The sequence below is a fragment of the Homo sapiens genome, chromosome 7 (assembly GCF_000001405.40).
Source record: "Homo sapiens chromosome 7, GRCh38.p14 Primary Assembly".
NCBI lineage: Eukaryota > Metazoa > Chordata > Mammalia > Primates > Hominidae > Homo > Homo sapiens.
In genome coordinates, this window is record NC_000007.14 from 129321198 (window position 1) to 129337605 (window position 16408).

The 16408-nt window shown below is 39.8% G+C and overlaps 1 protein-coding gene across 6 annotated transcripts in view; it reads left to right on the top strand.

The window, feature by feature from the left end:
- AHCYL2 (adenosylhomocysteinase like 2) overlaps positions 1 to 16408 on the top strand; it is a 205182-nt gene that overhangs the window by 96168 nt on the left and 92606 nt on the right. For 2 of the 6 annotated variants that reach the window (XM_047420088.1, XM_047420087.1), the window contains one exon: positions 11316 to 11381. The exons of the other annotated variants lie outside the window; for them this stretch is intronic. Coding sequence is in view for 1 of the 2 variants with exons in the window: in XM_047420087.1 (XP_047276043.1) it covers positions 11316 to 11381 (66 nt within the window). In the remaining variant the exon portion in view is untranslated. The remainder of the gene's footprint in view (positions 1 to 11315; positions 11382 to 16408) is intronic. 6 annotated transcript variants of the gene reach the window in all.

Sequence of the window (16408 nt, forward strand, 5' to 3'; positions counted from 1 at the left end):
TGCCATACAGTGTTAAATAAAAATACACAGAAGATTCTTGTTCTCAATGTTAAGAAGAAAGCATTCAGTTTTTCATCCTTACGTATAATGTTAACTGTAATTTGTTGTAGATGTTCTGTATCAAGTAAAAGCGTTCTGTTCTAGTCTTAGTTTTCCAACAATTTTTATCAGGAATGGATGGTGGATTTTGGAAATACTTTTTCTGCACCTATTGAGATGACTGTATGGTTTTTCTTTTTTAGTTTGTTGATATAGTAAGTTATATTGATTGATTTTCATATGCCAGACCAATCTTGCATTATGAGATAAACCCCACTTGGTTGTGATATTATTCTTTTCATATATTGCTGGAATAGATTGTCTAAAAATTTGTTAAGAACTTTTACATCTGTGTTAGTGAGAAACATTAGTCTGTGGTTTTCTTCTCTTACTATGTCTTTCTATGGTTTTGGTATATGGGTAATGCAAGCCTTGTAGGATGGGTTAGAAAGTATTTCTCCTTCAGTTTTCTGGGAGCGTTTGTATGGAATTTGTATTCTTTCTTTGTTTTTTTTTTTTTTTTTTTTTGGTCTTGGTTTTGTTTTTGTTTTTTTTTTCAGACGGAGTCTCACTCTGTTGCCCAGGCTGGAGTGCAGTGGCACGATCTCGGCTCACCTTAACCTCCACCTCCCAGGTTCAAGCGATCCTCCTGCCTCAGCTCTGCTAGTAGCTGGGATTATAGGCACATGCCACCATGCCCACCTAATTTTTGTATTTTTAGTAGAGATGGGGTTTCGCCATGTTGGCCAGGCTGGTCTCAAACTCCTGACCTCAGGTGATCCACCTGCCTTGGCCCCCCAAAGTGCTGGGATTACAGGCTAGTTCTTCTTTAAATATTTGGAATTCACCAAGTAAGCCTTCTGGGCCAGGTTTTGTGTGTGTGTGTGTGTGTGTATAGGAAGGTAAGGTTTTTTGTTTGTTTGTTTGTTTGTTTGCCCTGTTACCCAGGCTGGAGTCCAGTGGCGTGATCTTGGCTCACTGCAACCTCTTCCTCCTGGGTTCAAGCGATTCTCCTGTCTCAGCCTCCTGAGTAGCTGGGATTACAGGTGCCTGCCACCATGTCTGGCTAATTTTTGTATTTTTAGTAGAGGCGTGGTTTTGCCATGTTGGCCAGGCTGGTCTTGAACTCCTGACCTCAGGTGATCTGCCCGCCTTGGTCTCCCAAAGTGCTGGGATTACAGGCGCACTGCGCCCAGCCAGGTAAGGTTTTATAAACCACAAATTTAATATCTTTAATAAATATTTCTATATATTCTATATTTATAGAGCTATTTAGATTTACTCTTGAATGACCTTTGTGCCTTTCAAAGTATTTGTTGAATGTCTTAGCAAAAAGCTGTTCATAATTTTTCTTTTTTCTTTTTCTTTTTTTTGAGACAGGGTCTCACTCTGTTGCCCAGGCTGGCATGCAGTGGCATGATCTCTGCTCACTGCAGCCTCTGCCTCCTGGGCTCAAGCCATCCTCCCACTTCACCCTCCCGAGTAGCTGGGGCTATAGGCGTGCATCACCATGCCAGGCTAATTTCGTATTTTTTTAGGGGTGGGGTTTTGCCAGGTTGCTCGGGCTGATCTCAAACTCCTGAGCTTGAGCTCAAGTGATCCACCTGCTTCAGCCTCCCAAAATGCTGGGATTACAGGTGTGAGCCACCATGCCTGGCCTATTTTCTTATTTTTATTTTAAAATTGTAGAATTCTAGTGAGGGTTACCTCTGTCATTCTTGATATTATTCCTTTGGATCTTCTCTCTTTTTCTCCTGATCGGTCTGACTAAATGTTTATGTAGTTCATTGATCTTCTCAAAGAACACCCTTTGGTTCCATTGATTTTCTCTATTGCATTTCTCTTTTTTATTTTAAAATTTCTGCTGTGGAAAAAAATCTTCTGTTTGCTTATGGTTTGTTGATTCTTTTTCTAGTTTCTTAAGGTGGAAACTGAGGTTTTTTATCTGAGACTTTTCTTCTTTTCTAATAGAGGTATTTTGTACTATAAATTTCCCTCTAAGTGCTGCTTTAGGTGCATTTTTGATTTGCTGTGTTTTTAGTCTGTTTAAAATATTTTTAAATTCTCTTGTTCCTTTTACTCCTGGGTAATATGGAAGTATTGTATATAATTTCAAAATATTTGAGGGATTTTCCAGACATGTTTCTGTTTTTTAATTTAATTTCATTGTGTTCAGAGAACATACTTTGTATGACTTGAATTCTTTTAAATTTATTTAAATTCGTTTTATGGCCCACAATATATTTTATATTGTTAAATGTTCTGTGTACCCTCAAAAAGAATATGTTTTCTGCTCTTGTTGGGTTGAGTGTTCTATAAATGTCAATTAGGTCAAGTTGGTTGTTAGTGTTGTTGAAGTCTTCTGTATCTTTCCTGCTTTTTCTATTTGTCCTATCAATTAATAAGAGAAAGGTATTGAAATTTGTAGTTAGAATTGTAGGTTTGTCTATTCCTTTTGGCAGTTTTGTCAGTGTTTGCTTCATGTATTTGAAACTTAGTTATCAGATACATAACATTTAGGATTATGTCCTCTTGATGAATTGACTTCTTTATGATTATGAAATGATATCCTTTAGTCCTGGTGATATTCTTTGTTCTGAAATATACTTTACTTGATATTAATATGGCCCTTTTAGCTTTTTTTTTTTTTTTTTGACAGAGTCTCACTCTTTCGCCCAGGTTGGAGTGCAATGGCGAGATCTCAGCCCACTGCAACCTCTGCCTCCCAGGTTCAAGAGATTCTCCTGCCTCAGACTCTCGAGTAGCTGGGATTACAGGCACCCGCCATTGTGCCTGGCTAATTTTTGTATTTTTGTAGATTTCGTAGATTTTGTAGATTTTTGTAGATGTTGGCCAGGATGGTCTTGAACTCCTGACCTTTGATGATCCACCCGCCTTGGTGTCCCAAAGTGCTGGGATTACAGGCATGAGCCACCGTGCCCTGCCCAGCTTTCTTTTGATTAATATTAGCATAGTATATCTTTTTCCATTCTTTTTCTTTCAGAATGATTTTATCTTTATATGTAAAGTAGATGTCTTATAGGCAGCATATAGATAGGTCTTGCTTTTATGTAGTCTGACAATCTCTGCCTTTTAATTGGGATGTTTAGACCATTTACATTTGATGTGATTATTCATATGGATGTGTGTAAATCTGCCATCTTGCTGTTTGTTTTCTATTTTTCCCACCTCTTCTTTGTTCTCGTTTTCTTCTTCTGTTTCTTTTGGATTAATTAAGCATATTGTAATCATTCAGTTTTACCTCCATATTGGCTTATTACTTTTTATTTTTGTTTTGAGATGGAGTCTTGCTCTGTCACCCAGACTGGAGTGCAGTGGCGCGATCTTGGCTCATTGCAAGCTCTGCCTCCCGGGTTCACGCCATTCTCCTGCCTCAGCCTCCCAAGTAGCTGGGACTACAGGCGCCTGCCACCACGCCCGGCTAATTTTTTGTGTTTTTAGTAGAGACGGGGTTTCACCGTGTTAGCCAGGATGGTCTCAATCTCCTGACCTCGTGATCCACCTGCCTCAGCCTCCCAAAGTGCTGGGATTACAGGCATGAGCCACTGTGCCCGGCCTGGCTTATTACTTCTAACTCTGTTTCCTTTTTTGTAATTGTTTTAGGGTTTGTGGTGTAAATGGTGTACATCTTTAACTTATCAGACACCTCCTTCATGTGATATTACAGCACTTCACATATAGTATGTCAATCTTATGATAGTGTACTTCCATTTCTTTCCACTCAGCCTTCACATTATTATTGTCATACATTTTAGTTCTGCACATAACTCCACAGTACCTTTTTATTTATTTTTTTATAAAAACCTTCAAGGATATCTAAATAATTGTAAAAAATGTTTGTATTTACCATTTTTGGTACTTTTCATTCTTTTGTGTAGATCTGTCTTTCCATGTGGTATAATTTTCCTTGTGCCTGAGGGACTTCCTTTAATGTTTCTTGTACTGCAAGCCTGGTAGTGATGCTTTTTTCCAGCTTTTATACATCTGGAAAAGTCTGTATTTTGCCTTTGTTTTTGAAGGATATTTTTACTGGGTATACAATATTAGGTTAACAGGGTTTTTTCGTTTCGGTTTTTAAAGATGTTTCATTGCTTTATTGTCACTTGCATGGTTTCCTATGAGAAGTCTGTTGTTAACCATACTTTTTTTCATTTGCACATAATGTGGGGTTTTTTCCCCTCTCGATGCTTTTAAGTTTTCTTTATCACTAGATTTGAGCAATTTGATTGTGATGTTCCTTGGTGTAGTTTTGTTTATACCTTTGTGCTTGGGGTTTGTTGAGGCTTTTGGATTAATGGGTTTGTAGTTTTCATGAAATTTAGAAAACTTTCAGCCATTATTCTATTTTCTATACCCCTTTTCTTACCTTTCCTTTGGAGATTCCATTTATATGTAATTAGACCAGTTGAAGTTGCCCTCCAGTTCATGAATGTTCTGGGTTTGTTTTATTTTGTTTTGTTTTTTCTTTTTCTTTTTTTTTTTGAGACTGACTTTTACTCTGTTGCCCAGGCTGGAGTGTAGTTGTGCAACCTCCACCTCCTGGGTTCAAGCGATTCTCCCGCCTCAGCCTCCCGAATAGCTGGGACTACAGGCACGTGCCACTACGCCTGGCTAATTTTGTATTTTTAGTAGAGGCGGGATTTCACCATGTTGGCTAGGTTGGCCTCAAACTCTTGACTTAATGTGATCCGCCCATCTTGGCCTCACAAAGTGCTGGGATTACAGGTGTGAGCCACCTCGCCTGGCTTAAGTTTTTTAAATGTGATTTTTAAATGACTCCATAATGTGTTCCACTTGGCTGAATGTCTAAGATTTTCTTCCTTTTTTTCATTAATCGAAATAATAGTGTGATGAACATTTGTATACAAAAATATTAGTATACATCTGTGATCATTTTCTTAGAATAAATTTCTCCTTAAGACTTTTAATATGTGTTGCAAAATGCTGTCCATATATTTTTGTATCACATAAAAAACAAAAAACTCCTGGCTGGGCACAGTGGCTTACACCTGTAATCCCAGCACTTTGAGAGGCTGAGGTGAGTGGATCACCTGAGGTCAGGAGTTCGAGACCAGCCTGGCCAACATGGTAAAACCCCATCTCTGCTAAAAATAAAAAAATTAGCCGGGCGTGGTGGCAGGCGCCTATAATCCCAGCTACTTGGGAGGCAGAGGCAGAAGAATCGCTTGAACCAGGAGGCAGAGGTTGCAGTGAGCTGAGATCATGCCATTACACTCCAGCCTGGGTGAAAGAGTGAGACGCCAACTCAAAACAAACAAACAAACAAACAAAAATCCTCCTATGAAAACTGCTAGTTTTAATGGCAGGGGAACATTCAACTACTTGAACTCCTATTCTTTAGGAGGGCCAGGATTGCTTGCTTGACACCAGTATATCAGAATTTTAAAGTGAAACTTAAAGGCTAAGAAGAAACTCACCATATGAAGAATAGGGGAAATAATTACAAGCAGAATGAACTGCAGTGCAAAGCCTCAAGATACAAGGGATGTTAGAAGAATGGAGAGAAACCGAGGGTAGCTAGAGCATAGTGAGAAAGAGAGTCTGTCCTAAAAGGAGATTGCAGAGAGGCAAGGACTGGATCATGTAGGACCCTGAGGGTCAAGGCAACTATGCTTTGGACTTTATTCTAAGTGCCATGATAAGCCATTGAAAGGCTGTAAGCTGGGGAGTTTATGGTGTTGTGTAGAGGAAGGTGGTTTAGAGAGTGGCAAGAGTGGAAGCAGGATGACCAGCTAGAAGATACGATTCTTTACTATTTCTCGATCACTTTATCATATATATTAACATATGTTACTGCTATGGACTGAATGTCTGTGTTCCTCCCAAATTCATATGTTGAAGCCCTAATTCCCAGTGTGATGGTATTAGGAGGTGGGGCCTTTGGGAGGTAGTTAGGTTTAAATGAGGTCATAAGTGTGGAGTCTCCATGATGGGATTAGTACCCTTATAAGAAAAGGAGGAAACACCAGAGCTTCCCCTCTCCACCATATGAGGATACAGCAAAACAATGGCTAGTTGTCTGCAAGCCAAGAAGTGGGACCTTGCTGAGAACCAGATTTGTTGCACGTTGATCTTGGCCTTCCCAGCCTCTAGAACTGTGAGGAATAAATGTCTGTTGGTTAATCCACCTAGTCTGTGGTATTTTATTATAGCAGGTCAAGCAGACTAAAACATCTAGGAAGTGATAAAGAAGAAAATATATATCTGAGACGGAGTCTAGCTCTGTCACCCAGGCTGGAGTGCAGTGGCGCGATCTTGGCTTACTGCAACCTCTGCCTCCCAGGTTCAAGCAATTCTCTGCCTCAGCCTCCTGAGTAGCTGGGATTATAGGTGCCCGCCACCTTGCCTGGCTAATTTTTGTATTTTTTGTAGAGACGAGGTTTTACCATCTTGGCCAGGCTGTTCTTGAACTTCTGACCCGGTGATCCACCCACCTTGGCCTCCCAAAGTGCTGAGATTACAGGCGTGAGCCACCGTACCTGGCCAAGAAGAAAGATATTTTAATATTTTAATTTATTATTATTATTTTTTTTCAGACTGAGTCTTACTCTGTCACCCAGGCTGTAGTGCAGTGATGTGATCATTACTCACTGCAGCCTCAAACTCCCAGGCTCAAGCGATCCTCCTGACTCAGCCTCCCCAGTAGCTGGTACTACAGGTATGCACCACCACACCCAGCTAATTTTTTAATTTTTCTTTTGTAGAGACGAAGTCTCACTGTGTGGATTAGCCTGATTTTGAACTCCTGGCCTCAAGTGATCTTCCTATGTCTGCCTCCCAAAGGGCTGGGATTGCAGGCATGAGGCACCATGCCCAGCTGAGAAAACTATTTTAAAAGTAATGGGAAACTATCACATTATTCCCTTTGGCTAGTTATGCTGCATTTCCTGATTTGGCTTTGTTTGTTTGTTTGTTTTGAGAGAGAGTCTTACTCTGTTGCCCAGGCTGGAGTGCAGTGGCACAATCTTCGCTCACTGCAACCTCTGCCTCTCGGGTTCAAGTGATTTGCCTGTCTCAGCCTCCCAAGTAGCTGGGATTACAGGCATGGGCCACCACGCCCGGCTAATTTTTGTACTTTTAATTGAGATGGGGTTTTGCCATGCTGACCAGGCTGGTCTTGAACTCCTGACCTTGTGATCCACCTGTCTCAGCCTCCCAAAGCGCTGGGATTACAGGCTTGAGCCACTGCGCCCTTTTTTTGTTGTTGTTTTTTGTTTTTTTTGTGAGACAGGGTCTCACTCTGTTGCCCAGACTGGTGTGCAGTGGCACAATCTCAGCTCACCGCAACCTCCACCTCCCAGGCTCAAGTGATTCTCCTGCCTCAGCCTCCCAAGTAGCTGGGATTACAGGCGTGTGCCACTACCACCCAACTAATTTTTGTATTTTTAGTAGAGATAGGGTTTCACCATGTTGGCCAGGCTGCTCTTGAACTCCTGACCTCAAATGAGCCACCCGTCTCGGCCTCCCAAAGTGTTGGGATTACAGGCATGAGCCACCATGCCCAGCCTGATTTGGCTTTCTAATGCTATTGCTGCATACCTAACATTTTTCTTCTATTTTATGACATCCCTAATCAGTATTTAAGCTTTGAATGTTTATTCTCCTGTTTTGCCTAGATAATTTGTTTTTCTCCTTTATTTTCTTAAATACATGGAATCTTTTATTATGCCTCTAATATAGTGTTCTCAAACTGACTTGAATGTGGATTTTAAATTTTTTAAAATGAAATATCTGCCTGGGACACCCTTTGAAAAGCTAGGCCAGAGGATTGGGTTCCAGTGATTACCAAAGGCTTATGGTCAACCAAATGAGAGAATGCAGTAAAAGAATTACAACCAAATGCAACCAAAGCAATGAGAGAATACCTTGCAGGATCTGGTCCTGGAACTGCTATTAATGTTTTTTATTTTGTTTTGTTTGAGATAGGGTCTCATTCTGTTGCTCGGGCTGGAGTACAGTGGCGCGATCACAGCTCACTGTAGCCTCCACCTCCTGGGCTCAAGCAATCTTCCCACCTCAGCCTCTCAAGGAGCTAGGACTACAGGGCAAGTGCCACCATGCCTGGCTAATTTTTTTTTATTTTTTGTACAAATAAGGTCTGCCTATGTCGCCCAGACTGGTCTCAAACTCCTGAGCTCAGGCAGTCCTCTACCTTGGCCTCCCAAAATGCTGGGATTACAGGCATGAGCCATGAGCCACCATGCCTGGTCTATTAATGTCTGTAGATTGATTTCTTAGATAATGATGTAGAGATTATGTTAATCATGAATATGGATGTGATATTACACCAAGGCAGGAATGAAGGCAATTTTGTGAGAGGGGAATGGGGCTTTGGAATCTGTGAATCAGGTTAAAATCTTAGTTTTAGCCTTTGCTAGGCTGAGTAGCCTTTGGCAAGTTGCCTAATTTCTTTGTCTTCAGTTTCTTCATTTGTAAAATGAATAGGATGACACCTACTTTGTGTGGTTTTTGTGAAGAGCAGATAAGACGTATAAGGTATAAATTTCTTTATCCACTTTTATTGTTGTTCTGTACCATCTTGGAAGATGGGGATAGAATCTGTTATAATGTTAATAAATTGGAGAAGGGGCAAAGCAAACAAGGAAATTTAGTGAGAATAGTTCTGAATAAGTATAAATATAGCATGTAGGATCAACAGAGTATAGGGTTTTTTACTTGGATGTTTGGAACCTTGGGAATAGAAAACCTTTTTTAAAAATTTAATTTAATTTTTTAAAAGACAGATGAGGTCTCACTCTGTTGTTGCCGAGGCTGGAGTACAGAGGCACGATCATAGGTGAGCTTGAGCTCACCTCCTGGGCTCAAGGAATCCTCCTGCCTCAGCCTCCTGAGTAGCTGGGACTACAGGAATGCACCAGCGTGCTTGGCTAATTTATTTTCTTTGTACAAGTGGGTTTTCACTATGTTGGGCTGGTTTCAAATTCCTGGCCTCTAGTGATCCTCTCACCTTGGCCTCCCAAAGTACTGGGATTTTAGGCGTGAGCCGCTGCACCCTGCCCAAAAGCTGTTCTGTTTGTAATAGTGAAAAATGGAAACAATAAAGTAACAAAAGAATGATTAAATGAACCATATGTAGTACACTCATGCAATGAAATATTTTCCAGTCTTTCAAAAGAATGATACAGATCTATATATTTGGACATGGAAAGGTTTCCAGGATACTCTGGTACATTTTTTTTTTTTTTTTTTGAGACGGAGTCTCACTCTGTCGTCCAGGCTGGAGTGCAGTGTCGCCATCCCAGCTCACTGCAAGCTCCGCCTCCTGGGTTCACGCCATTCTCCTGTCTCAGCCTCCTGAGTAGCTGGGACTACAGGCGCCCACCACCACGCCCGGCTAATTTTTAGTAGAGACGAGGTTTCACCGTGTTAGCCAGGATAGTATCCATCTCCCGACCTCGTGATCCACCCGCCTTGGCCTCCCAAAGTGCTGGGATTACAGGCGTGAGCCACCACGCCCGGCCTCTGGTACATTTTTTAAAAAAGGAAATTAATAAACCACTTTTGTAGTAGGATGGTGTATGACCATATTTGTATTTTAAAAATTATGTTATGAACATGTCTATGAACTCATAGATAAAGGTCTGGAAGGGTGAACTTCAAATCGTTAGTCATCATAAACAACTTCTATACCTTAGGCTTGCATAAATAAAAATGAGACTGAAAAGGTACTGTAAGAAGCCATCAGAGATTGTTTTCTAAATATGATATAAAACCCATTATTCACAAGACCAATACATTATTTACATAAAAATTAACCTCCAAATATGGGAAACTTCCAGCAGTTCTGAATTGATGGGTTTTCTATTAGAATCCTATATTTTTTCATTCTAAAACATAGATTATTAAAAGATTTGCATATTTTTAATGTATAAAACTCTGTGCGGATGAAGGGGTGAGAAGACGAACATTTTTATACACCCTGATAGAAATATAAATCGGTGCTTTTCTGGCGGGTACTTTGGCAATAGAGAACATGTTATCTCTTTTGACGTAGAGTTCTACTTATAGGAATTTATTTTAATGAAAAACAATCACAGACATAAAGATTTAGATTTAGCATTTATTGCATTGTTATTTATAATATTATAAATTTATAAACAACAATATCTGACAATAAAGGATTTTAAATAAAGTAGGATACATTTATTCAGTGGACTACTAGCCACATAATATATTGTAGAAGTGTAAAATTGATGCAACGTATGTTGTTGAGTGCTTACTATTTACCAGATTTGTTCTAAGTACATTATTATTTAATCCTGGCCGGGCGCAGTGGCTCCATGCCTGTAATCCCAGCACTTTGGGAGGCCAAGGCGGGCAGATCACGAGCTCAGGAGTTCAAGACCAGCCTGGCCAAAATAATGAAACCCCGTCTCTACTAAAAATACAAAAATTAGCCAGGCGAGGTAGCACACACCTGTAGTCCTAGCTACTCTGGAGGCTGAGGCAGGAGAACCTCTCGAACCCGGGAGGTGGAGGTTGCAGTGAGCTGAGACTGCACCATTGCACTCCAGCCTGGGCAACAGAGTGAGACTCCCTGTCAAAAAAAAATTTTAATTTAATTAAAAAATATATATATATATAATTTAATCCTTAGAATAAGCAGTGAGACAATCATTTCTTATTTCATTTTACATATAAAGTAACTTGGGCACTGAGAGAGGTTAAATAACTTGTCTAAAATCACATAGGGAGTGGGAAAGCTGGGACTCACTTTTATCTGCCTGACTTCAAAATTCATACCTCAATTACTATATTTAATGATTTTATAAATATAAAAATATGGCATAATACTTACATAAAAAAAGTTATAAGATGATATCATTGTTTTGAAGAAGGATTTATTCTAAAATGTCAGCAGTGGAAATAGTTGAGTATTGGGATAATGGTTAATTTTTGTCTCTTCTTTTATTATTGTTTTCCACAGTGAACATGAATGACTTTCATAACTACAGTTTTTAAGAGATACTCATTTCATAGCAGAAGGGTGGAGTGTATTAAAAAAATAAATATTCCTTCTTCCCCTCTGTTTCTGGGTGTATTTCTGAGATATATTTCTGAGTTTGGGTGTATTCACTCCTGAAGTTGCATGTAATTGCCTCTTGGCACTAGTTTATAAAAACTAGAAAGTTGAAACAGTGATGTTATTCTGAGATCTGAAGATGTAGGCAGATGAAATATGTTTAAATAATGACATTTTAACCATTATTCAGTTTCCTAGATCTGGGACCGGGGCCACTGGTAACAGGATTCAGAAGCCAGAAGCACAGTACCACACAGTGAGCAATTCCCCAGACTCGTCTCTTTGAGCTTTTCACTAGAAAATCCTTCTTCACCTCTCCTTTCTCCCAATTCCTTTTTATTAAGAGTCTTTTAACCTGGATGAACATAATTTGAGCCGATCATAAACAAATAGCTCTCTTTTTTGCCTGACTTTATGCATTTCTGTTGCCATGTAAACCAAATAAAGCTAGCTGTGAGCAAACCAGCTGCTGCCTGCAGCCTCCTTCCCTAGAGGAAGGGAAAGGGTGGTGAAGGTAATTGGGAAGGACTATAAGAAGGGTAGAAATTGAGGGAAGAGAGTATTCTATTTACATTTCTGGTCCTGATTCTCACTCTGTTTATTTGGCTATTTAGAATATGATGACTATAGTTGACTTAGTCATTCTTCCCAGCAGCTGAGAGATATGGGTGACTAATAATTTTTTCTCTATTTGTTTGCATGTTGGAAATGGTTACTATTGAGGGGTGGAATTAATAGAGTCTAAGCTATATTTCAGAACTGGAAAACTTGGAAAATGAATGGTTGTAGGGAATAGCATGGGATTTATGATTTTTTGTTTCAAAGAGTTACGCTTTGGGTACTGGCATTAAAAAGTAGTTCCAGGGGCCAGGCACGGTGGCTCACGCCTGTAATCCCAGCACCTTAAGAGGCTGAGTCCAGAGGATTGCTTGAGGCCAGGAGTTCAACATCAGCCCTGGCAACTTAGCGAGATCTCATCTCTACCCAAAAAAAAAAAAAAAAAAAAAATTTTTTTTTAAGTTCCAAGGTGTCTAATTGAATGTGCCCTAGAGGCACTGTGCAAAGACTACATATAGGTGGTCAGTGACTGTCAAGTATTTACACTCACAATTGAAAGGACATGACAGCTGAGGCCTAAATCACATGACGTAGTAACTAGGTAAGTACTTGGAATCATTAATGAAAAGACAATGAGGTGTTTGCTTAAATTATAAATATTGATTAGGGGTAGTAGAGGTAATACGTTATTATGAGAAGAGAAAAGTGAGTGTGGCAGTTACTCATTTAGTTCAGATATGGGGAAAAAAAGTCATCTCTTCTCTGAGCTCAGGAAACTTTGGAAGTCAATCAGCATCAGATACACCAATCCTCAGACCCTATAGTGCCACCCAAAACTAAATATTCTCCTTCAGATGGTCCAGTTCATCCTTAAGCTAGGAAAGAGCAAAAATTAAATAAGAAGAAACATTGTAATAATCTTAAGTTTCTCACTGGGCTGTAAGGTTGATAGTGAACTTATGTGTAAATATCCAAAAACATTTTTTTGAAAAAACATTTTTTTCATGGCCCAGTCTTCATTTCTTATTGTCTAATTATACACATATGAGTAATGCATGTATTTATTCCTATCCCCTTTTTCTTACACAATAGGGTAGTATAATATGAACCTTGCTTTTTTCCCATATGAGTACAAAGAAAGTTTCCTCTTTTTATAGCTGTATAATATTCTGTTGTTGGATGTACCTCAGTTTATGCCATCAGAACCCTGTTAGTGGATAGTTGAGTTGTTTCAAATCATTTTAAGCTGTAATTTTACTGACTTTAAGTCTCTTTTGTTAGCAATCCCACTTTGAGGCCAGGCTACAGAAGTTAGTATATAGAAAACAAATGAATATAAGTAAAAAACTACAAATCCAACTTTAGTTCTAATCTGGGCTGTGGGAAGATGGCTGCCTAACTTCAAAGTTATGCTACCTTCATGCAGTCCTCTCTATTTTGTTTTTCTTTGCTGCCGTCTATGTATTTGGTGATGTTTGGTTTGTTGTCTTCTAATTTTTCTTTCATGGTTACTTCCTGATCCTATCTAATACACCAGCCTTCCTAACTCCTAGTTAGAGCTTTGTTAGAAAATTGTTAGACATGCAGATCTTTGGATTTTACTGTCGACAGACGATAGCAGTTTTCAGTCTAGATGATGATGGGATTCCTCCTATCTACCTTGCCGGAAGCTCTGTGAAAATCTTAATACTTGGATAATGCACTTCTACTATCACTGCTTCCCTGCTAACAAAGTACACTTGGTAACAAATTTGTATTAGTGATACTTAACTGCCCCAGGAGGCTGGTACCTGCTACTGCTGGTGGGATGTCAAAATTTCTTCCTGCTCAGTAGGGGTAGAGACAAGCAGAATTGAGAAATGCTGTTTAAATCTGTGAATTTAAATCTGGGTTCTTTGGAGGAAGGCATAAAGGGGTGATTGATTAATATCATTTTGGCTGCTCTTCTGCCACAAGGAATATGAGTAGAATAAAGAAAGGAAGAAGAAGATACAAAGAAATTCAGGTTAGAGAAGAAACACTACATTGAGAATCAAGAAGCATGGATTTTGATCTGTATTGTTACTAATTTGGTCTGTGATTTGATCTATATTCTGTTAATGATTTGGTCTGTGATTTCACTTCTCTGGTCCTAAGTTTTTGACCTATGAAATTAGTGGTTTGGAATTTTTTTAAAAATTGTCTGAAATTCTAAGGCAGAAAAGAGAAGTAAAGCAGCAGGCCGGGCATGGTGGCTCATGCCTGTAATCCCAGCACTTTGGGAGGCCAGGGCGGAGGACTGCTTGAGCCCAGCCTGGACAACACGGTGAAACTCTGTCTCTACAAAAAATAAAAATAAAAAAATTAGCCTGGCCTGGTGGCACATGCCTGTAGTCCCAGCTACTGGGGAGGTTGAAGCAGGAAAATCACTTGAGCTCAGGAGTTCAAGACCACAGTGAGCTATATGATCACATACCTGCACTTTGGCCTGGGTAACAGAGTGAGACCCTGTCTAAAAAAAAAAAAAAAATCCATATTGTTATTAAATAATATAAAGAGGAGAGCTTGTCTGTTAAAGAAAAATACCTATTACAGTTAGTGTTGTTGCATAGCAAATTATTCCCAGAATTTAGGGGCTTAAAGTAATCGTTTACTTTGCTTCTGATTTTGTGGGTCAGGATTATGGGAATGGCTCAGCTGGATAATTCTCATTTCGGGTTTCTCATGAGGCTGATGTCAGATGGGGCTACAGTCATCTGAAAGCTCAGTTGGGCTACATGTCCAAGATGGCTCATTCACATGGCTGGCAGTTGATTTTGGCCATCAGTCAGAGTGTCTGCATGTAGTCTTTCCAGCATGATGGTCTCAAGATAGTCAGGTTTTTTACATGGTGGCTCTCTTCTACCAGCGTGTCCCAAAGAAGACCAGACAGAAACTGCGTGACTTTTCTGACCTTGTCTTGAAAGTTACGTAGCATTACTTCCCCTGTACTGTATTGGTTGAAGCAGATACAAGCATGCCCAGATTCAAGGGGACAGGTCCTAAATCCCACTTCCGTGAGAAGAATGTCAGAGAATTTGGGGGCCACGTGTTTAAAACTGCCACATTTTCTCTTCATAGAGTAGATGGCTTCTATTGAGAATAGCACATAAGTACTGAAGTTTCTTTTCTTTTCTTTTCTCTTCTCTTCTTTTCTCTTCTCTTTTCTTTCCTTTTTTTTTTTTTTTTTGACGGAGTCCCACTCTGTCACCCAGGCTGGAGTGCAGTGGCATGATCTTGGCTCACTGCAACCTCTACTCCCAGGTTCAAACGATTCTCCTGCCTCAGCCTCCCAAGTAACTGGGATTACAGGTGCATGCCACCATGCCTGGCTAATTTTTGTATTTTTGGTAGAGACAGGGTTTCGCCATGTTGGCCAGGCTGGTCTCAAACTCTTGACCTCGAGTGATCCACCTGCCTCGGCCTCCCAAAGTACTGGGATTACAGGCTTGAGCCACCCCACCCAGCCTGAAGTTTATTCTTTCTTTTTGCTTGGTTGAAGCACAACCAAGCAAAAGAAATGTGTTTAAAATTATGATCACAGAATAAGTGTTACAAATTTTTCAGTGGTAACTTAATCCAGATAGTAATAACCCATACATTAATTTCTTGCCTTTCTCTTGTATGGAGATTATGCACAGGAGTTTGGACCTTATTCTGTAGACAGTTGGGAATCACTTGAGGCAGGAAGTATAGAAGTTGATTAGAAATAGGTAAGACTGGAGGCAAAAAGAGTAGCGCCAATTCTTTTCTTCCCCAAGCAGTGCAGGTGAGCAGTGAGATCCAGAACTGGGGCAGTGGCAGTTGGGATAGAGAGATGTTTAATTCAAGACATAGTAAAACATTAATAAAACGTAATTTTTTTTTTGAGACAGGGTCTCACTGTCACCCAGGCTGGAGTGCAGTGGCACGATCACAGCTCACTGTAGCCGCAATCCCCTGAGCTCAAGCAATCCTCCCACCTCAGCCTCCTGAGTAGCTGGGACTGCAAGCGCAAGCCACCGTGCCTGGCTAATTTTTAATTTTTTGTAAAGACGGGTGTCTCATCATGTTGCCTAGGCTAGTCTCGAACTCCTGGACTCAAGTGATCCTTCTGCCTTGGCCTCCCAAAATGTTGGGATTACAAGTGTGAACCACTACATGCTGGCTAACATATTTGTAAAGAAATTATTTATATTCGAATAGCTAGTAAATAAATGAACAAAATTCAAAATGTTCAAAAGGATAGATAATAAAAATAAGTTTTTTATCATCTCTTCTCCCCTACTTGCCCAGTTTTCCCCTAAGGCTATCACTATTACTATTTTTTTGAGTGTATTTCCAGAGATTCTATGCATATACAAACTTACTTTTATCGTACTGTATTCACTATTCTGTACCTTGCTTTTTTCACTTAAAATATATCTTGGAGATAGTTTATATCAAAACATATATAGCTGCCTTGCTGTCTTAACTATAGAGGATTCCATTGTATAGATAGGCCGTAATTTATTTATTTATTTTTATTTTTTATTTTTTTGGAGATGGAGTCTCGCTCTTCTCCCAGGCTGGAGTACAGTGACGTGATCTCAGCTCAGTACAACCTCCACCTGCCGGGTTAAAACAATTCTCCTAGTTCAGGCTCCTGAGTAGCTAGGATTACAGGTGCACACCACCACGCCTGGCTAATTTTTGTATTTTAGCAGAGACAGGGTTTCATCACGTTGG